The sequence below is a fragment of the Homo sapiens genome, chromosome 6, assembly GCF_000001405.40.
Source record: "Homo sapiens chromosome 6, GRCh38.p14 Primary Assembly".
Lineage (NCBI taxonomy): Eukaryota > Metazoa > Chordata > Mammalia > Primates > Hominidae > Homo > Homo sapiens.
In genome coordinates, this window is record NC_000006.12 from 149,881,859 (window position 1) to 149,903,256 (window position 21,398).

The 21,398-nt window shown below is 46.0% G+C and overlaps 1 protein-coding gene and 2 long non-coding RNA genes across 9 annotated transcripts in view, besides 1 other annotated feature; 1 reads left to right on the forward strand and 2 right to left on the reverse strand.

Annotated features, from left to right (window-relative positions):
• The window catches only part of RAET1E-LRP11 (RAET1E-LRP11 readthrough), a 77,374-nt gene extending 63,102 nt beyond the window's left edge, over positions 1-14,272 (reverse strand). Inside the window, exons 1-5 of the long non-coding RNA NR_182438.1 lie at positions 13,988-14,272; positions 8,959-9,176; positions 8,027-8,287; positions 7,490-7,765; positions 6,681-6,809 (exon numbers count right to left, since the gene is read on the reverse strand). This is a non-coding gene — a long non-coding RNA (RAET1E-LRP11 readthrough). The remainder of the gene's footprint in view (positions 1-6,680; positions 6,810-7,489; positions 7,766-8,026; positions 8,288-8,958; positions 9,177-13,987) is intronic.
• Positions 1-21,398, forward strand: part of RAET1E-AS1 (RAET1E antisense RNA 1) — a 56,011-nt gene that overhangs the window by 18,361 nt on the left and 16,252 nt on the right. Inside the window, exons 1-2 of one of the 2 annotated variants that reach the window (NR_045127.1) lie at positions 8,245-8,306; positions 14,275-14,381. The exons of the other annotated variant lie outside the window; for it this stretch is intronic. This is a non-coding gene — a long non-coding RNA (RAET1E antisense RNA 1). Of the gene's footprint in view, positions 1-8,244; positions 8,307-14,274; positions 14,382-21,398 lie in introns of those variants that run through there. 2 annotated transcript variants of the gene reach the window in all.
• Positions 1,321-16,255, reverse strand: RAET1E (retinoic acid early transcript 1E). Of its 6 annotated transcripts, NM_001394056.1 has the most exons (7): positions 16,163-16,255; positions 13,988-14,174; positions 8,959-9,176; positions 8,027-8,287; positions 7,490-7,765; positions 6,681-6,809; positions 1,321-2,646 (listed from the first exon to the last, which is right to left on the reverse strand). In NM_001394056.1, the coding sequence occupies exons 3-7, from the start codon at positions 9,041-9,043 to the stop codon at positions 2,630-2,632; spliced, it is 768 nt and encodes a 255-aa protein (NP_001380985.1). In that variant the 5' UTR covers positions 9,044-9,176; positions 13,988-14,174; positions 16,163-16,255; the 3' UTR covers positions 1,321-2,629. The 6 variants fall into 6 exon arrangements, with proteins under 6 accessions (NP_001380985.1, NP_001380986.1, NP_001230257.1 ...); NM_001394057.1 differs by having other exon boundaries at positions 1,321-6,809; NM_001243328.3 differs by lacking the exons at positions 6,681-6,809; positions 16,163-16,255 and having other exon boundaries at positions 13,988-14,272.
• Positions 16,515-16,809: a silencer, noted in NCBI's record as "tiled region #9442; HepG2 Repressive non-DNase unmatched - State 20:ReprD, and K562 Repressive DNase unmatched - State 20:ReprD". NCBI's record gives its function as "represses a minimal TATA promoter and a strong SV40 promoter by Sharpr-MPRA in HepG2 and K562 cells {active_cell/tissue: HepG2 | K562}" and the evidence as "EXISTENCE:reporter gene assay evidence [ECO:0000049][PMID:27701403]".

Sequence of the window (21,398 nt, forward strand, 5' to 3'; positions counted from 1 at the left end):
ACAGAACTGCCATTTGACCAGCAATTTCACTACTGGGCATATACCCAAAGGAAAAGAAATCATTCTAGCGAAAAGACACACATGCTCACATGTTCATTGCAGCACTATTCACAACAGCAGACGTAGAATCAACCTAGGTGCCCATCAATTGTGGATTGGATAAGGGAAATGTGGCACATATACACCATGGAATACCATGCAGCCATAAAAAAGAACAAAATTGTGTCCTTTGGATCAACATGGATGCAACTGGAGGCCATTATCCTAAGTGAATTAATATAGGAACAGAAAACCAAATACTGCATGTTCTCATTCTTAAGTGGGAGCTAAGCTTTGGGTACACATGGACATAAAGATGGGAAGAGTAGACACTGGGGACTATGAGGAGGGGAGAGATGGAGGGGCGAGGACTAAAAACTGCCATTGAGTACTGTGCTGCTGCTCACTACATGAGATCATTCATATCTCAAACCTCAGTGTCACACAATATATCCATGTAACAAAACTGCACATGTACTCCCTGAATCTAAAATGTTAAAATTATAAAAAAGAGAAAACCAAAATTACATTAACATGTTTCTCTTACAATCCTGTTTTAAATATAACTAGAATTTTCTGTTACTGCATAGCTTTTTTCCTAGTTTGAAAATATAAAATAATAATGATAATAAAGAGGCCAGGCACAGAGGCTTATGCCTGTAATCCTAGCGATTTGGGAGGCTGAGGCAGGGGATCACCTGAGCCCAGGTGTTTGAGACCAGCCTAGGCAACATAGTGAAACGCCCATATCTATAAAAAAAATCTGAAAATTAGCTGGGTGGGATGGCTCATGCCTGTGGTCCCAGCAGTATGGGAGGCTGAAGCAGGAGGATCGTTTCAGCTTAGGAGTTCAAGGCTGTAGTGGGCTGCGTTCACACCTCTGTACTCCAGCCTGGACAACAGAGCAAGACCCTGACTCAAAAAAAAAAAGACCCACAAAAAAAGCCCCCACCAAATCTATTGCAACATCAGTCAAAATTTTAGTTCTACTTATTAAATACAATTTTATTCTTATAGCAAGTATTTTAAAATTGTTATCTGTTTTTTTAAATATGTAAAATATCTTCTTGTCGAAGCGACAGGTGCTTTGAATTGTTACCTTTATGTTTGTTGAAACTATGAAGAAGAGATTAGGAAGACTTTAGGTTTAAAATGGAAGACAGATTACATATATTATATTCTTGTAAAACTATGAAAATAAAAATAAAGGAGTAAAAGTCAAAAAAATAGCTACCTATTTAATTCAGTTTCATGATCATAATAGAAGGGATAGTCTGAAAACAGAGTTGCAAATAAGTTTATAATTTGTAAAGATCTGATAAAAATTATCAGATGATAAGAATTTACAACCATATCATCACTGAGAATGGAGGAGAAAAAGAAAGATTTCCATATTACATTTATTTAGAAACATGTTTGGTGTGTCTATTTTAAAGTAAAATTAAAAAAAGTACACACACAATTTTTTTTTTTTTTTTGCATTCAGTGTTAAAGTGTTTATCAGAAAGAACTACTTGTGTCTGGGCTCAGTGGCTCATGCTATAATCCCAGCACTTTGAGAGGCTGAGGGGGGCAGATCACCTGAGGTCCGTAGTTCGAGACCAGCCTGGCCAACAGGGTGAAACCCCGTCTCTACTAAAAATACAAAAATTAGCCGGGCGTGGTGGCTCATGCCTGTAATCCCAGCTACTCAGGAGGCTGAGGCAGGGGAATCGCTTGAGCCTGGGAGATCGAGGTTGCAGTGAGCCGGGATCGCACCACTACACTCCAGCCTGGGAGATAGAGTGAGACTCTGTCTCAAAAAAACAAACAAACAAACAAAGAATTACTTGCACTGTGCTCACATAATTTATACAGTCAGTTCTGCTATATCAGGTTGTTTGAAAACCGTACTTTATTCCAATGCAAATGATGTATTAGGGAAGAATTTCAGTGTAATGTGAATTGCACGTTTGCTTATGAGTAACTTAGTCTGTGAGAAATGGTGAATGCAGAAAACTGCCTCACAAATGATTATACTACCTCTCAAATAATTTCCAACAACTCTTCTTCCTCCACTGCGTAGTAATCCACAAGCTGCTACTCTTCTAACTCCCGGGGATCCATGCCCTCCCCTCTGTTTAATTCCCCCAATTTCCTCTTATTTTCCATTTTTCCTCTCTGTTCTTTGCTTATCTCTCTTTTCTCCCTCACTTTTCTTCTCTCCCTCTCACACATAGAGGAGGGGGTGTTAGAACCAGGTGGGCTGGTGGTAGGATCATAGGTCCACAATCTCACGAGCAAAGGCTCACTGCAGCTTCAGATTCCTGGGCTCAAGTGATCCTCCTGCCTAGGCCTCCCAAAGTGTTGGGATTATAGATGTGAGCTGCTGTGCCCAGCCCTATCTTTTAAAAAATATGTACTGAAAAAAAATTTTTTTTTTTTGAGACGGAGTCTTGCTCTGTTGCCAAGACTGGAATGCAGAGGCGCGATCTCCGCTCATTGCAGGCTCCGCCTCCACTTGACTCAGGGAACACACAGCAGTGGGAGCCAAGGCTGTCAGCGATCGAGGACCACAGGTGAACAACTCTGCGCCGCCGTGGTATCACCTCTAGGTGGATCTTCTGCCTTTAGGAAGGAGACAAAAGAGTGCAGAACCCTGGGTCAGATCAGCTCAGGATTGACCCCTCCGTGATCTCTCAGGACTCAGATCCCACCTCTCTCTCAGGGAGAGATCAGCCGCTATTGTTCACATTCTGCCTCTCTGTCATCTAGTTTATGATTGTTCACTTTCCGTTACTTCATCATTAGTTAGACCCAGACCCCAGCAGAGATTTTAGGGGTTCAGAGCCAAGGAAGGCAAAGTATCAGTGGGAACACAGTGGGAAGGCCCACAGCGGGGGCAAGAGTCTTCCAGCTGTGGGCAAGGGTATCCCTGCGGCAGGTCCAGAGCACTGAGGGTGGGGCTTGGCACGACGCCATTTGCCAGGATTCCTGTGTCAGGGGTGAACCAGAAACCCAGGTGTCAAAGGAATCCCACCTTCTAGTCCTTGCTGTCCTCACAGAGTGTCTAGGGTTCACTTTCAGCCTTCCCTTCTGCTCACAATCCCCTCTCCCACGGTCTGTGTGGCCCTGCCTCCAGCCTGCTTTGTTGGAGCCCAGGCAGCCTTCTTCATTATGTCCTCCTAGGAATTAAACCTAGAGACCCCTCAACCTTTGGCATGTGATATACTTTCCCATGGTCAGATGGTCAGATCATCAAGCTGCTGCCCCACCCAAAATTGTGTCTTGCCCACCCTCTGTGTTTCTGTCCATCAGACCACCCATCACATAGGCAACCCCTGGAGAGTGACCCTGGTTTAAAGCCCGACTTTGCCAAACCGCTGTGGATGCATTAATTTGGAAAGGTCCCTGTTCACCTCAGGGCCCACTTGCAAAGCAGAGACAGTCCCCGAGACTCATTCAGCCTTTGCCTTTCTCCTGTTGGCCAGGGACAGAGAGGGCTCAACTTGACCCAGAGCTAAGCCTCTCAGGTCGTGAATGCCCAGGCGATAAATGAAATTCACCTCATCTTATGTCTATGGTGAGATTTGGCAGGGGTCTTGGGGAGACTTAGCAACCTCATTTCTCCCTGTCCTCATACAGGACAAGCCCTGCCCCTAATCCAGAGGCCAGTTGGCCCCATCTCATACTCTGTTTTGCTCACAGTATACCTGATGCCCTCCCTCCTGACCTGTGATTGGGATTGAGCTGAAGATAGTCACTGACATGATTCAAAGGATTAGCACTTGGTACAGGTAGGATGGTGGAGATGTGGTTGGGGACATGGATGGTTGAGGTGAAATGGAACAGAAGAGTGCAGGTTCTTGTCCAAGCTCCATACCCAGGAGATGACCCTTACCTCCGCTGCCACTCAAGTCCTCACATGTCCTGAGCGTCTACTATATAGCAGCCATGATAGATTCTCAGGTTACAAAAGTAATGTCCTCAAGTAAGCGCATCAATTTACTGACATACACCCAATCATAAAACAATGTGATAATTTTTCTGTGGTCAGAGTTTCTGAGCTACGAGTGGGGGTAGTTAATTCTATCCAGGAAGAATGGTGACTTCTTAGAGGAGGTGACAGTTAAACTGGACTTGGATAGCTGTCTGGAATTCGGTCAGGTAAGAAAGAAAATTCCAGGCAGAGATGAGCATGAGCAAAAAATTTGGCAGCAATGATGCACGGTGATTCAGAGATCAAAAAGTTCAGTGTGGATGCCTCTAGACATTTTCTTATCTGTGTCTGATAGATTTTGATATTTTGTATTATCATTTTCATTCATTTCAAAATACTTTCTAGTTTTCCTTGTACTTTTTAATTTGATATATAGTTATTTGGAAGCATATTATTTGATATCCAAACATTTGAGGATTTTTCCAGATAGCTTCCTGCTGTTGATTTCTAGTTTATTTCCATTGTGCTTGGACAAGATGCTTCGCATGATTTTAACCCTTTACATATGTTGAGATTTATTTATTTATTTATTTATTGAGATGGAATCTCACTCTGTCACCCAGGCTGGAGTGCAATGGCGCAATATCAGCTCACTGCAAACTCCGCCTCCTGAGTTCAAGCGATTCTCCTGTCTCAGCCTCCCGAGTAGCTGGGATTACAGGCCCATGCCACCACACCCGGCTAATTTTTGTATTTTTAGTAGAGACAGGGTTTCGCCATGTTGGCCAGGCTGGTCTCGAACTCCTGACCTCAAATGATCCACCCAACTTGGCCTCCCAAAGTGCTGGGATTACAGGAGTGAGCTATCACGCCCAGATGAGATTTATTTTATGATCCAAAAATGGCCCTTCTTGGTGAATGTCCCTGTGTATTTGAAAAGACACTCCCTGTCAACCCCTTTGCTCTGTCATTTAGCTTTGATCAGCTTTTTCTCTCTTCTGTCACTTCAGCAGAAACAATGCCCAGAAATGCCAGAGACAACAAAATAGGAATGTGTCATGGGCACACAAAGCTCTTTTTCCCTGGGTGCTGCTCTTCCCCGTGACAGAGAAATCCATGCGACACAGTGGGGAGGCCCTCCCCAAAGGGTGGCAGATATATTTTTTTCCCCTTGAATTGTAATACACCTTTCCCCAGGCCCACTCTGCCTCCCACTTCTGTTCAGCTCAGCTGTGGGCACTGACCTCCACCGGCGCTTGATCCCTGCCTGCTCCTGCCCAGACAGGAAGCCCTTCAGCAGCCGACTCGGTTACCAGGATGAGGCTAGAGGCCAGGAACTCCCAGGTGTCTATGGAGGTCCCACCTCCTTTAAATCCCTACTGTTCAGACCCAGCTTCTAAAACTGTTCTTTTGCCTCCCTTCCTACTCACCAATCCCCTTCACTATTGTCAATGGCACTGAAGTCCCAGCCTGCTTGGTTGGGGCAGTTAAGTCCTTCTCAGTCACCTTCCACCAGGGATTAAGGTGGGACCCCTTTGCCTGCAGCTCTGTGGGTGGGACCCCTTCCTATCTCAGCATATTCACTCCCTGGGTTCCTGCTGCCATCACACCACCCACCACACGAGCCCCTTCTGGACCAGTGGCCCTTATCTGACTCAAGCCATATCTTGCCAAGCCTGTTGTGACACCGATCTTGGCAAACTCACTTTTCATGTCAGGGCCCCTGCAAAACAGACACATATCTGAGTCATGGTATTCGTTTAAGCAATGAAAAGGGTAGAATCATTTCTTACATCAGAAACATTGATCCTCAGTGAGTCAGATGGAGTAGCCTATTTTTCTCATTAGAGGGAATCCTAACTTTGAACTCCACAGAGAGAGCCCCAGGAACTGTGACTTGAACCCTAGAGCTCTACTTAACTTTTCCAAATTGCTGTACTTGAAAATGTTGAGGTCTGCCTGGGTCAATTTAGAGAAGACACTATGAGGACAAAGACAGCAATGGAAGAAAGAAATGAATTCTTCATGTCAGAGCAGTGGCGGAGAAACAGGACCAAAGAGCAGAAGATGTCTGGCAATGTGTCTGGCATATAATAGTTCTCTCAGCCAGGTGTGTTGGCTCCCCCTGTAATCCCAGCGCTTTGGGAGGCCGAGGCGGGAGCATCACCTGAGGTCGGGAGTTCAAGACGAGCCTGACCAACATGGAGAAACCCCATCTCTACTAAAAATGTAGGATGTAGTTCGGCACTGTAATGTTTAGAGGGTGGTGAAAGGATTTCTTATACCACATCTTGTATGTTATCTGGGAGTAAATGCTGCAGCCACAAGCGCCACCAGCAAGTCTTCTCAGGGTGAACGGGAAAAGGGGATGGGACCTGCTGAGCTAAATCACGGTAAACGCAGACAGCAAACAAACTTTCCGTCAAAGAGCTGGATGAAACCTGGGCCGGATGGCAAGGAGACAACACCCCAGGCAGGCGTTCCAGATCTTTGACCTTGCCCCTCCTCGAGAGGAGATGATTGCTTCATCCCTCCTCTCACTGCACATTGTGCTGCCAGCCCTGCTGTGTAGTGTGGGGGCTCAAGACTAAGGCAGTGCACCATTTCTGTGGAGAGAGATGGATCAGGGAGCGGGGGCTTGGATGAGACCCATGATTCACCTCTCTTGAGTCCTTACCAGACTAAGACGTCCTCAAGGGCCAGAGACCAGCCTGCCACTCACCATTTTGCCACCAGACACAGATGAGAACAATTCCCATTAAAACTAACAGGATGAATGCCCCCAGGATGATCCATCTATCTGGTAGACTAGAAGAAGACCAGTGGATATCTGAAGCATTTACTGGTGACACTAAAAAAAAAAAAAAAAAGAAAAAAAAGCACAAGCCCTGTCACATAAAAAAAAAAAGCATAAAAATATGCTTTCCTTAGCCCCTGCTTTCCCCAGGAACACATGGTGCCCCACATAATCACTGGCTCATGTGACAGCCACTCTACCAGGCCCTGGGCCATGAAGATGAATAGGGGTTGTGCCTTGTCCTTATGGAGCTCAGATTTCTACTGAGAGAGGTAGCAAATATCCATCTGATTACCACACAGTTTCACGATTACTGTGGTTAGAACTGTTTGGAGGATGACACAATGGGTGGTGCTTAATTCTGTGTGGGGAAGGTGGGGAAGGCTTCCTAAGAAGTGGCATTAGAGCTGGTGGAAGGGTAATTATAATAGAGGAAGAGAAGGCCTGGATGTTTGCAATGACACAGATAGACTTGGGACCATTTAGCAGTGGGTCATTGTGACTGGATCATTGGTTAATGGGAAGGGGTTTCTACACTGAGGAAGAAACAGTGGGAGGTGGGATGGGAAAGGGAGGATGGTGGGAAATCCTTATAGCCATCACTGACTCTCCAGACAGGAAGCCCACGGAGAAGTCAATCAAATTTTCTATCGCACACACACACTGACACCCACACAGGGAAGGCTTTTGACCTTTAAAGGGAGCTGCCACATTCTCCCACCCAGCTCAGTTACCTGTCGGTTCTGGCATTGCCTCCCAGTGCCCTAAGAATTCCCTGAGCCAGTGATCGCAGTCTCCCTTTGAGAGCTTCCTGAAATACTTTTCCAGCCCTCTGTCTTTCTTCCATGTCTCCTTGATCTTACTGGCTTCATGATTAATTACTGTCCAGGTCATGTTCATTGCGTCAAAGAGGAGGGATTTCTCTCCATTGGTGGCGAACTGCCAGGATGCACCAGTGCACCGTTCTGCTTCACGTTGACAAAACATCTCGACTTGCAGAGTGGAAGGATCTGCAATCCAAACACAAAGCCATCATCCTCCACTCTTTGAGAAGTCCATCATCCTCCAATAGGTCAAGTGTTTCTCTGCACATTTAGGGGTCTGTATTCTTTCTGCCCAGACTTGCCCTTTCCTGCCCATTGGGTCCCATGTGCCTCTATGGTTGGGCCAATGATCAATACACAGATATACCTAAAGCCCCTCCCCATCTGTGTTCTTCCCTCCCCTCTCTTACTGCCTGCCTCTGTTTGCCCACCCCATTCCACACTTACCACTGGTCTTTATCTGGGGTTTGATGTCACAAAGGAGCATCCTGAGGTCTCGCCCCACTTCTCCCAGCGTTTGGGTCAATTCTCCCCAAGTGCTGGTGGCATATACCTTCTTCCCCAGGAGGCCCAGAGGTTTGACCATGTTGTTGTCACTGTTGTACTGAAGGAAAAGATTTTTATTCAAGAAGACCTGCGCTTCACACCAGGGCTGTCCAGGTCTGGACAATGATTTTATAGTGAAGTTGAAGCAAAGAGAGTGACCACCTGTGAGACAAAGATGCAGGTGAGGTCCAGGACAGGGGAAGAGGCCCATTAGAACCTGCGCTTCTGTGACCCAAGACTCCCTGGACTGGGCCAGGCTAGCAGAGGCGGGGCAGCTCCATCCCAGACTCCCTCAACCTTCTGGATCCCTGTTCCCATCTCTCCCTGACTGTCTGGGATGAGATACTTGATGGTACCAGGGACCCCTGGGGTGCACTTAGTGTTAATGGTGTTAACAGGAGGATTCATGTCACAAGTACTTTTAGCAACATCTACCAAGTTCTGAGGCACAAAACAGACAAGCCAGTGTATGACCTCCTGAGACTTAAACTCTAGCTGAACACACATGACATTCAATAGAAAGGAAAAAGAGGCATTTATCACAGGACACACGCTGAATTCCTGTGGGGTCCCAGATGTTCAGGAAAGTGACCTGGAGTAGAAGGCGGGGGGTAGCATTGTAGAACTGCCCTCTGTGAGCCAGTGCCTTGCCTAGGGCCTCAGGCTGTGGTCTCCCATGAACTGGGTGTAACATCCCAGGGATCCTCTTCCTCACGTCATCCTTAAGAGCAGGCACCCACTTGTCTGAAGCCTGCATGAAGCCCCATTCGCCTACCCCCTACCTTTCTCCCTCCTCCTTGTCCTCAGCCAGTTCTTGTGCTCAGGACACTCACCAACCATGATCTCCAAGGCTATTAGTAGCAACAGCAGAAACAAAAGAAGGCGCACAGGGCTAGAAGTCAGGGATATTCTTCGCATACTGTGGAGAGTAACAGGCAGGAAGCTGGGCGTGTACACATTCACCCTCACTGGTATGGTGAAGAAATGTTATCCAACAGCGTGGGTGTGGGCACTGCCCAAATTCTTTACCCTGGAACAACTGAGGTCAGGCCTGTAGAGACCCAATTAAAGAACAATTTTGTGAAGAGAGTGTTTTCCAAGTATTCAGAATATAATCATTTATTGAAAAATAAAAGAAGACATTTAAAAACAAAATTAACTTTGAATAAACTCTCTCTCCTCTCCTGTCCCTGCTGCCCCTGCAAAAAAAACCCCCTCTGGTGTGAGCAGGATGGTTGGAGGTTATGTGAGCTCCTTCTCCTTTCCTCCAGTTTCCTCTTCCCTTCTCCTCCCTGCCTCTTTTGCTTTTCCCTTTCTTCCTGGTACCCCCTGCCCATTCCTGTATTTTCTCCCATCGCCATTCTCCCCTCTCCCACTGTCCCTAACCCGTTCAAACTCTTTCCTCTTAAATGGTTGAGATTTTCTCTCACCAAGCACACCCCAGTATTAATTAAACTAGCTGCAAACAGGCAGCAAGTGGTCTACCATGACAGATGGGTTTTGTGTGTGTGTGTGTGTGTGTAATTGTAATAAAACATATTGAGTCACTCAATAAACACAGAGTGTCTACTACATGTATCAGGCACTATCATAGATGCTAATTAACGAAACTGAAATGGCCAGGCCCTCACAGTGGCTCATGCCTATAATCCCAGCACTTTGGGAGGATGAGGCAGGAGGATCACTTGAGGCCGGGAGTTCAAGACCAGCCTGGGCAACATAGTAAGACTCCATCTCTACAAAAAAAAATTTTTTTTTATTATACTTTAAGTTTTGGGTTACATGTGCAGAACGTGTAGTTTTGTTACATAGGTATATACGTGCCCTGGTAGTTTGCTGCACCCATCAACCCATCACCTACATTAGGTATTTCTCCTAATGTTACCCCTCTCCTAGCCCCCCACCCCGTGACAGGCCCTGGTGTGTGATGTTCCCCTCCCTGTGTCCATGTGTTCTCATTGGTCAACTCTCACCTATGAGTGAGAACATGTGGTATTTGGTTTTCTGATCTTGTGATAGCTTGCTGAGAATGTTGGTTTCCAGCTTTATCCACGTCCCTGCAAAGGGCATAAACTCATCCCTTTTTATGGCTGCATAGTGTTCCATGGTGTATACGTGCCACATTTTCTTAATCTATCATTGATGGACAAGTTTTGCTATTGTGAATAGTGCCACAATAAACATACGTGTGCGTGTGTCTTTATAGCAGCATGATTTATAATCCTTTGGGTATATACCCAGTAATGGGATCACTGAGTCAAATGGTATTTCTCGTTCTAGATCCGTAAGGAATTGCCACACTGTCTTCCACAATGTTTGAACTAATCTACACTCCCACCAACAGTGTAAAAGTGTTTCTATTTTTCCACAACCTCTCCAACATCTGTTATTTCCTGACTTTTTAATGAACGTCATTCTAACTGGCGTGAGATGGTATCTCATTGTGGTTTTGATTTGCATTTCTCTAACGACCAGTGATGATGAGCATTTTTTCATATGTCTGTTGGCTGCATAAATATCTTCTTTGGAGAAGGGTCTGTTCATATACTTTGCCCATTTTTTGATGGGGTTGTTTTTTTTCTAGTAAATTTGTTTAAGTTCTTTGTAGATTCTGGATATTAGCCCCTTGTCAGATGGATAGATTGCAAAAATCTTCTCCCATTCTGTAGGTGGCCTGTTCACTCTGATGATAGTTTCTTTTGCTGTGCAGAAGCTCTTTAGTTTAATTAGATCCCATTTGCCAATTTTGGCTTTTGTTGCCAGTGCTTTTGGTGTTTTAGAAAGGAAGTCTTTGCCCATGCCTATATCCCGAATGGTATTGCCCGGGTTTTCTTCTAGGATTTTTATGGTCCTATGTCTTATGTTTAAGTCTTTGATCCATCTTGAGTTGATTTTTGTATAAGGTGTAAGGAAGGGGTCCAGTTTCAGTTTTCTGCATATGGCTAGCCAGTTTTCCCAACACCATTTATTAAACAGGGGATCTTTTCCCCATTGCTTGTGTGTGTCAGGTTTGTCAAAGATCAGATGGTTGTAGCTGTGTGGTGTTATTTCTGAGGCCTCCATTCTGTTCCATTGGTCTATATATTTGGTACCAGCACCATGCTATTTTGGTTACTGTAGACTTGTAGTATAGCTTGAAGTCAGGTAGCACGGTGCCTCCAGCTTTGCTCTTCTTGCCCAGGATTGTCTTGGATATGCAGCCTCCTTTTTGGTTCCATATGAAGTTTAAAGTAGTTTTTTCCAGTTCTGTGAAGAAAGTCAGTGGTAGCTTAATGGGGATAGCATTGAATCTATAAATTACTTTGGGCAGTATGGCCATTTTCACGATATTAGTGCTTCCTATCCATGAGCATGGAATGTTTTTCCATTTGTTTATGTCCTCTCTTATTTCCTTGAGCAGTGGTTTGTAGATCTCCTTGAAGAGGTCCTTTACATCCCTTGTAAGTTGTATTCCTAGGTATTTTATTCTCTTTGTAGCAATTGTGAATGGGACTTCACTCATGATTTGGCTGTCTGTTTGTCTGTTATTGTTGCATAGGAATGCTTGTGATTTTTGCACATTGATTTTGTATCCTGAGACTTTGCTGAAGTTGCTTGTCAGCTTAAGGAGATTTTGGGCTGAGATGATGGAGTTTTCTAAATATACAATCATGTCATCTGCAAACAGAGACAATTTGACTTCCTCTTCTCTTGTTTGAATGTACTTTATTGCTTTCTCTTGCCTGATTGCCCTGGCCAGAAGTTCCAATACTATGTTGAATAGGAGTGGTGAGAGAGGGCATCCTTGTCTTGTGCTGATTTTCAAAGGGAACGCTTCCAGTTTTTGCCCATTCAGTATGATATTGGCTGTGGGTTTGTCATAAATAGCTCTCATTATTTTCGGATATGTTCCATCAATACCTAGTTTATTGAGAGTTTTTAGCATGAAGTGGTGTTGAATTTTATCAAAGTTCTTTTCTGCATCTATTGAGATAATCATGTGGTTTTTGTCATCGGTTCTGTTTATGTGATGGATTACGTTTATTGACTTGTGTATGTTGAACCAGCCTTGCATCCCAGGTATGAAGCCAACTTGATCGTGGTGGATAAGCTTTTTGATGTAATGCTGGGTTCGGTTTGCCAGGATTTTTGCATCAATGTTCATTAGGGATATTGGCCTGAAATTTTATTTTTTTGTTGTGTCTCTGCCAGGTTTTGGTATCAGGATGATGCTGGCCTCATAAAATGAGTTAGGGAGGATTCCCTCTTTTTCTATTGTTTGGAATAGTTTCAGAACTCCTCTTCTTGAGGAGTATCTTTGTGATGTTCTCTGTATTTCCTGAATTTGAATGTTGGCCTGCCTTGCTAGGTTGGGGAAGTTTTCCTGGATAATAACCTGAAGAGTGTTTTCCAACTTGGTTCTATTCTCACTGTCACTTTCAGGTACACCAATCAAATGTAGATTTGGTCTTTTCACATAGTACCACATTTCTTGGAGGCTTTGTTCATTCCTTTTTATTCTTTTTTCTCTAATCTTGTCTTCTCTCTTTATTTCATTAAGTTGATCTTCAATCACTGATATCCTTTCTTCCGCTTGATTGATTTGGCTATTGATACTTGAGTATTCTTCACAAAGTTCTCATGCTGTTTTTTAGCTCCATCAGGTCATTTATGTTCCTCTCTACATTGGTTATTCTAATTAGCAATTCGACTAACCTTTTTTCAAGGTTCTTATCTTCCTAGCATTTGTTAGAACATGCTCCTTTAGCTTGGAGTTGTTTGTTATTATTCACCTTCTGAAGGCTACTTCTGTTAGTTCGTGAAACTCATTTTCTGTCCAGTTTTGTTCCATTGCTGGCGAGGAGTTGTGATCATTTGGAGGAGGAGAGGCGTTCTTGTTTTTGGAATTTTCAGGCTTTGCGCACTGGTTTTTTCCTATCTTTGTGGATTTATCCACCTTTGGTCTTTAATGTTGGTGACCTTCAGATGGGGTCTTTGAGGGGACGTGCTAATCCTTTCTGTTTGTTTCTTTTCCTTCTAACCATCAGGCCCCTCTGCTGCCAGTCTGCTGGAGTTTGCCGGTGGTCCACTCCCAACCCTGTTTACCTGGGTATCACCAGCGGAGGCTGCAGAGCAGCTAAGATTGCTGCCTGTTCCTTCCTCTGGAAGCTTTGACCCAGTGGGGCACCTGCCAGATGCCAGCCAGAGCTCTCCTGTATGAGGTGTCTGTCGGCCCCTACTGGGAGGTGTCTCCCAGTCAGTATACGTGGGTGTCAGGCACCCACTTGAGGAGGCAGTCTGACCCTTAGCAGAGCTCGAATGCTGTGCTGGGAGGTCTGCTGCCCTCTTCAGAGCCATCAGGCGGGGACATTTAAGTCTGCTATAAGCCCCTGATTGGGGCTGCTGCCTTGTTTACCAACATGCCCTGACCAGAGAGGAGAAATCTGGCAGTCTGGCCATAGCAGCCTTGCTGAGCTGCAGTGGGCTCCGCCCAGTTCCAACTTCCCAGCAGTTTTGTTTACACTGTGACCTTAAAACCATTTCCTCAAGCCTCAGCAACGGCAGAGGTCCTTCCAGATGAGTTTTGTAATAGACTCCAGCAGTCCTACTGGGGCCAAGACCTCAAGGAAAGCCAAGTCTATCATTGGGAAAAGTCTTAGGGCTCTAAGTTTTGAATTCTGAAAATTTTTCTTAGAACAAAATTTTGTGTCATTTTCAAATAAAGCACAAGTTTTCCTCATAAAACTTAGTATCTGTAGACCCCCTTCCCACCTCACTTTTACAGCTGTCCCATTTGATCATCAGACCCTGCTACCTTAGCCAGTTCAGGCTGCTACAACAGAATAGACAAGGTGGCTGAAACACCAAGCATTTATTTCTTACCTTCCTGGAAGATGGGAAGTCCAAGATCAAGGTGTCAGCAGGTCCGGTATCTGGCGAGGGCCCTCTCTTCCTCACCAGATGGCTGTCTTCCTGTTGTATCCTCACACAGTGGAGAGCAGAGACAGACAGCAAGCTCTCCTATCACTTCTTAATCCCACATGGCTCCACTCACATGAGTTATGACTTCCTAAATAGCATCACCTTGAGAATTAGGATTTCTGCATATGAATTTGGAAGGCAGGCAAACATGCGGCCTGTAACACCACCCATATCCGTTCCACATCTAGGTTCCCTCTGTGTGCCGGGCAGTATGCCAGTTAATTCAAGTGCATGTCAGACCCAGAGGGTGACATCCTGTGACTCAGATGCTAGGGCCCTTATGATGCCTGGTAAGGTAAGTGGGTCTTTACCACTGTCCTTTCTTAACTAGATGGAACAGACTTCAAAGAAAGTAACCATGGACTATCGGCAGGGCTCTATCTCTGGGGCTGGGGGATAAGGGGTTGTCTGCTCAGAGGACAGTGGGTCAAGCGTTTGAAGGAGCCGAGGAATGCACATTTTTTACATGTCCCCTATGTGGTTCTCTGTCTGCTAAGGTTAAAGAACCTCAATTTTGAGGGTGCACTTCCACCTCTTGGTCTGGAGAAGGGGTCTCAAATCTGTCCTGAGTGGAGCCTGTTCTGTACACATCCAGGCCCTGAGAGTACACAGAGAGGAACTCACTGCTACCGCCCTGCCAATACTGCTGCTGTGGGGACACCAGCGGGGGTGGGCCAAGAACAGAGTGTATGTGTGTGTTTGTGTGTGTGTGTGTGTGTGTGCATGGGTGCTTGTGTGTGTGTGCGTGCATATGTGTGATATGACCACTGAGTAGCTCCTTAGCAGGGCCAATATTTTCTACAAGTCTGATGACTCACAGGAAGGAGCACACCAGGCCTATACTTGGGTCCTGACATCTGGGATGCCAACCTAACACTGAAGAAAAAGAAAGAGCTGCAGACAGGCTGGGAAAAATATACAGAAAGGGGAAAGGGGCCCTTCCACCTTTGTTGCCCTCTGTGGTCCTGAATCTCAGCTTGGCCTGAGCCAACCTGAAGATGGGAAGGAATAGCCATTTTCCAACTGCAAAATGTCAGCTTCAGGCAATGGTTTCAAAACTGAAGTAATGGTTACATATGAAGTAGATTTTTGTTTGTTTTGTTTTTTGAGACCAGGTCTTGCTCTGTCATCCAGGTGGAGTGCAGTGGCATGAGCACGGCTCACTGCAGCCTTGAACTCCCAGGCTCAATCAGTCCTTCCACTTCAGCCTCCAGAATAGCTGGCACTACAGGCATGAGCCACCACACCCAGCTAATTTTTAAATTTTTGGTGTGGAGATGGGGTCTCATCACGTTGCCCAGGCTGATCTCGAACTCCTGGGCTCAAACAATCCTCCCCCCTCAGCCTCCCAAAGTGTTGGGATTACAGGAGTGAGCCACCACACCCGGCTGAAATGGAATTTTAATTGAAGTAAGAAGCGGGTGATAAGGAAAGTGAAACCAATAATTTCACATAGTCCCTGGAAGCCCGTTGCTATAAAGAACTTTCAGCCTGAAGTCCAAAGAGAGACGAAAATTTTAAAATGAATTGGACTGCAGTTTTCAATCCCTGAAAATGAGTCACAGCCTTTTTGTGGCAGTGTGCCCTGGGCTTCTAACCGTCCTCTCCCTGCCCCAGCTGCCTTGAGGTCCCGGCCAATGGTTTCAACACTCAGGCTAGGAATGCCAAGGCCCGGCAGAGCGAGGCTGTGGAAGCCTTGGCATAAGCGGAAGGGAGGATCTGAGGGAGAATGGGACAAGAGAAGTCGGAAAGAAGGAGTTAGGGCAGGAGAACAAGGAGAAATCCCTGTCCCCCAAATTGGAGAGAGGGGCGATTGGGACTCCAGACTGGAAGGAGGCACGGATCCCTGAGTGCTTGGTGTGGAGGCAGAGGACCCGCAGAGCCACCCCGTCCTCCCTGCCTTATCCAGCGTCCCCGCCGCCACACCCCCAGCATCTCCCCCAACCCCACTTTTACTTCATTATCTGCCCCTGGTTCTCTCACCACTCGAGCCCCTGCTTTCCTCCTTCACTCCCAAACATGCACACGTTCCCTCTGCACGGGTGTTTGGAACACCAGCCATCCCCCACCCCCTACCTTGTGCCAGCAGGAGATGTTTGTCCTTCTGCCGTCTCTAGGATGGAGAGGCCTGAGGTGACTGCTTCCTCAGAGTCTCTGTGCAAACTCTCTGAGGAGCAGAAACCAGTTCAGTCTCTCTGGGTGTGGAGAGGCCGGCCTAGCAGAACACCCGTCCACCATGCAAACCGGGTGGGGCCACCTGTCAACTGTCACGTGTGAGTGATTCTAGGACAGGGTAACTCGTCCAGAATTGGATCCAATTCAGTACTGGATTCACCATCAGTAGAAGGACCAAGACCAGACTCAAGTCCCAGCCACGAAATTCTAGAAAGGATTTAATGTAATTTTAGCAGTTGTTGGAGACCAGCATGTGATGGCATACATATGTTTTCCTTGATATGTAGGTGGGGGCCCCCACCTTTTTTCAGGGTTTAGGCTTCTGCAGGTCCTGGCATAGCTGTGACAGCGGCCCTACCTCATTTCTGGTGGGTGCTGGCTCCCTCTATTGCTTGGTTTCTGTGCAAACACTGCATTATCGTCCTGCCCTCTTGAGACCTGGAGCTCCTGCCCCCTGAGCTCGTGTTCGCACTGTGTGTCACTGAACCTCGCTGTTTTCTTCTTGCAACTCCATTCCCCTCTGCAACTGGAAGACCAGCACTTCTCCTGAGTCTTCCTTAAAAGACACCCTGCCCACTTCCTTACAAAGCCCCCACCAAAGTGACACCAGCTACTTGTGAATGTAGCCAACTTTACTGAAGATTTAGAGGTTATGTTATAAGGCTGTGAATAATTTAAAAAAAAAATCACCTATTTGCTCGACCTCTTTCTTATCTCTTCTTTGGACTAGAAATAAAATATCTATGATTTGACCACACTGTCATCTAGTACTCGACCCTGGTTCTAGGCCACCGTCCTCCTGGCCAGGGTGATTGCAGTGCTGCCCTACTTGGTTCTCCGTGCCTGTCCCCACCTCCCAAATGGCTACAGCGCAGCCAGAGTGATCTTCAGAACCTCATCACTCACGCCCCCCTCTGCTCCAATTCTCCAAAAGTGCCCTTTTTCTCTCAGTAAAACCAAAGTCACTACAGATGCCTAGAGAGCCCTGCACAGTCTGGCCAGCTGTCCATTATGCCCCCTCACTCGCTCAGTTCCGACCTCCACCCTCGGCCTCCTTGCTGGTCTTCAGAGCCCTGCAGATGTCCCCGTGCCTTGGGACTTTGCATTGCCCTCCCTTCAGCATGGACTGCCCTTCAGGCATCTGCCCGGCTCACTCCCACTCCTGCTCCCAGGTGGCACACCCTTCCACGCCTGGTTCTCCCTGCCCCTCGCATTTGGAACCCTTGTATTTCTTTCTTTCTTTCTTTTTTTAAAATTGTGGTATGATTCATGTAACGTGATTTTTCATCTTAACCACTGTTAAATGTAAAGGCCTCTATTTCATAATGGGAGACCTCTGCCTGCCCAGGCCATCCTGGACCTTCTTCACCTGAACTTGTTCCCCTAAAGCAATGACCACTTTAAAACATACCTTAGTAAGCCGCGCACAGTGGCTTACACCTGTAATCCCAGCATTTTGGGAGGTCAGGGAGGCTGGATCACCTGAGGTTGAGTTTGAGACCAGCCTGGCCAACATGTTGAAACCCTGTCTCTACTAAAAATAAGAGAATTAGCCGGGTGTGGTGGCCAGTGCCTGTAATCCCATCTACTCAGCTTATTGAGTCAGGAGAATCACTTGAAGCCAGGAGGCGGAGGTTGCAGTGAGCCGAGATCACGCCACTGCTTTGCAGCCTGGGCAACAGAATGAGACTCTATCCCTATAAACAAACAATCAAACAAACCTTATTAACTTTTAATTGTGGTTGCAACAAATTACTGCAAATTTAGTGCCTTAAAACAACATACATTCATTCTTTTACCATTCTGGAGCTCAGAAGTCTGAATAGTCTCACGGAGCTATCATCACTGTGCTGTCAGGGCTGTGTTCCTTTGGGAGGCTCTCGGGGAGAACCTGTCTCCTCCTTGCCTTTTCCAGCTGCTCAACTGCCCACGTCCATGGCTCAGGACCCCATTTCCTCATCTTCAAAGGCAGCTCCACCAGGCTGAGTCCTGGTTTACATGAGAACACTACCCCTCCATGGCTGGTTTTCCCAGGGCAGCTGATTAGCCACCTCAGCTCCATCCACAGCTTTCACCGCCCTTTCCATGTACCCCAACACAGAGGTTCCAGGGACTGGATCTGCCATCCTGAGGATTGGAGAGGGAATTCTTCTGCCCAACACACATACCATATAATTTACATATCTATCCATTTAAAATTTCTATCTCTTACTAGAATGCCATTTCTGTGAAGACAAAAACCTCATACAAGGCACAGAAAACAGCTCCCCAGGGGTGAAGGGGCTCAGATGGGCCCCCTGGCTCAGGGAACAAGGAGAGGTGTCAGGGCAGCCTCCCTGGGTCTCCAGCCTTCACAGCCGGTGCCTCCCAGGCAGGTTCCAGCCACAGCAGCAGCAAAAGAGATGTGGTGGGCAGCATCAGGCATTGGCGAGATTCCTGACACAGTTCAGTCGAAAAGAAACTTCCTAAACTGAGCTCACCTCAAGGAAGCTGGAGATAAATGCCACCTTACCCAATGGGTACATGAAATACAAATACAAATCCTTTTCCAGGTTGTGCAGGTTACAACTGGCCCAATTCTATGCCTGGTCCCCTGCCCTGTCCTGCTGTGACTTGCCAGGGTGGGGTGCTCATTGGCCTCCAGGCTCCACTCACTTTTCTGACCGCACCCAGTTTCCACCTCCAAGTCACCCCCCAGACTGCTTCTCCTTTTGCTGTTTTTTCTCAGCCCAGCAGAAATTCTAATATTCGCCAGGCTTGGCCCTGCTCAGGGCACCGGAGAAGGAGCCTCTGAGGAAAATCTTGGCACAAGGAGCAGCTCTCCCACCTGGATTTCCAGCACCCTCTGTTTTCTGGGAACTCCTGAATTTCTCTGGCCATTGGCACAGGGGCTCTGCCACGCAGTTCCCCTGGCGGCTGGCCCCTGACATCTGGCAAAGAGTTAGGAATGCAGGTGTTTCTGGCAAATATGTAGGGCCTATGAGATAAGAAAGTGGGGGAAGCAAGATCACGTAGGTTCTCTGTGAGAGAGGCCGCATGCCCAGCAGGACAGAACATCCCTGGCTGACAAGGGCCATCTTCCCCTGTCCTTATCTCTGCCTGGGCTCCAGCTCCGTCCTGCCTGACAGAGGCCGTGGAGCAGAGCACTGGGCTGCTGGTCAATGTCCTGGTCTTTAGATAGACCAGTCTCCGGATGGGGTCACAGTGGGAGAGCAGTGGGCCTGGGAGGTGCAGGGTTAGTGCAGGGCAGGGCTGCCTTGAATCTGCAGGTGCGGGGCCACCAGGCTGGACCTATCTGTATGCTCAGCACAGGAGGTTGCAGTATTGCCTGCCCTCAACCTCCTTTTCCTATTTCTGCTGCTAGAGGGCACTGGGGACTGGGGTCAGGCTGGGGGTCTTGCCATCCCCTCCTGATCTCCTCCACTCCCTGTCCACAGCTCCTGATTTCCCTGCCTGGGCTGCCCCCACCAGAAGTCTCCAGGCCTAAAATCCAGTAGGAACAGGCAGCCTAGCCTGTCCCCAGGGGTTTCTTTAGCACTTGCAGGAGTCAATAAGGCTTCAGGTAGGAAGGCCTGATGCCTTCCTCATCCACAGACGCCTAACAGGTGTTTCTGGAAATGTATCCTGTGGCAGCCAAAGAGGCTGGACTCCTCAGTGTGTTTCCAAACAGAGCCAAACACAGAGTTCATCGGTTGGAGGAGCCCAATCAGCTGCTCATTAGTGTGCCTTTGACAAGCCTTTGTACGGCGGGGAGGAAAAATGATTTTCATGAAAAAAACAAACAAACAGGAGTTTATTATCTATCTATCTATCTATCTATCTATCTATCTATCTATCTATCTATCTATCTATCTATCTATCGTCTCTTGTATATACACAGGAAACACCTGGAGAAAACAAGTAATCCTTAAAGTGCTGGCTTAGAGCTCCAGCATCTTCAACAGAAAACAATAAACGTCTAGAGAAGTGGCAGATCATGGGAAGGCCAATCTATGGCATCAGAGAAGCTTGTGGTGCCTCTGCTGCTGTCCCTAGGCCTGACAAGAGTCTGAAATTGTCTTTGGTGATCAACCTTTGTCCTTTCTGGTAGAGAAGGGAGGATACAATCAAAAGTGGCTCAATAATAACTGGAAAATAAATGGAAAAGAAAGATGTTCATTTCATCCAGGTTCTTGAATTCATTGACATACGGTTGTACATAGTATTCCCTTATAATCCTTTTTGTTTCTGTAAAGTTGGTAGGGATGTTTCTTCTTTCATTCCTGGTATTAGTCATTTGAGTTTTATCCCTCCACCATTTACCTAGTCATTCTAGGTTAAGGTTTGACAATTTGGTTGATCTTTTCAAAGAACCAACTTTTGGTTTTATTGAGTTTGCCAATGTTTTTCTATTCTTTATTTCATTTATTTACACTCCAATTTTTATTTCCTTCCATTTGTTATTTGGGGCTTAGGTCGCTTTGCTCTTTGAGTTTCTTAAAGTGAAATATCAAGTTATTAATTTGACATAATCCTTTCTTTGTCCTGTTCTTTCTCAGTATACTGGCATTTACAGCAGTAAGTTTTCCTTTAAGTGCTGCTTTATCTGCTTCTTATAAATCATAGTATGCTGTGTATTTGTTTCCATTCATCTCAAAGTATTTTCTAATTTTCCTTGTGAGTTTCCCTTTCGTTGATTGGTTCTTAGAATGTTTATAAAATTGTTTGTCTTAAAGATGATTCTGCCTGATATTATTAATAGCAATTTCAGTTGTCTTTGTTTACTATGGATGTGTTTTATCTTTTCCATATGTCTACTTTTAAACTACTTGTATCTTGGGATCTACATTGTATCTTTAGATCATTTTTTAAATGCATTCTGAGAATCTTTGCTTTTTCTTTTGAATGTTTATCACTTTGACATGTAAGGGAATTACTGCTAAGGTGGAACAGAATTTACGTCTGCCACCTTTTTCTTAGTTTTCCATATGCACTATGTCATTTTCTTCATCTTTTCCACCACTATTGCTTTGTTTTGTGTTAAACAGATATTTTCTACTGCATCATTTTACTTCCTTTATTGTCTCTTTTTCATTTTTTATTTAAAAAAGTTATTTTGTTAGTCATTTCAGGGGATTCCAATTAATATCTTAATTTA

What these genes read in the sequence shown, in the direction of transcription:
- RAET1E (NM_001394057.1), bottom strand. Translation starts at nt 9,043, where the DNA reads ATGCGAAGAATATCCCTGACTTCTAGCCCTGTGCGCCTTCTTTTGTTT. An exon ending in AGCCTTGGAGATCATGGTTG is followed by an intron (nt 8,288 to 8,958) that starts GTGAGTGTCCTG and finishes TTTGTCTCACAG; the next exon opens with GTGGTCACTCTCTTTGCTTC. An exon ending in GGCAATGCCAGAACCGACAG is followed by an intron (nt 6,810 to 7,489) that starts GTAACTGAGCTG and finishes TTTTTTTTTTAG; the next exon opens with TGTCACCAGTAAATGCTTCA.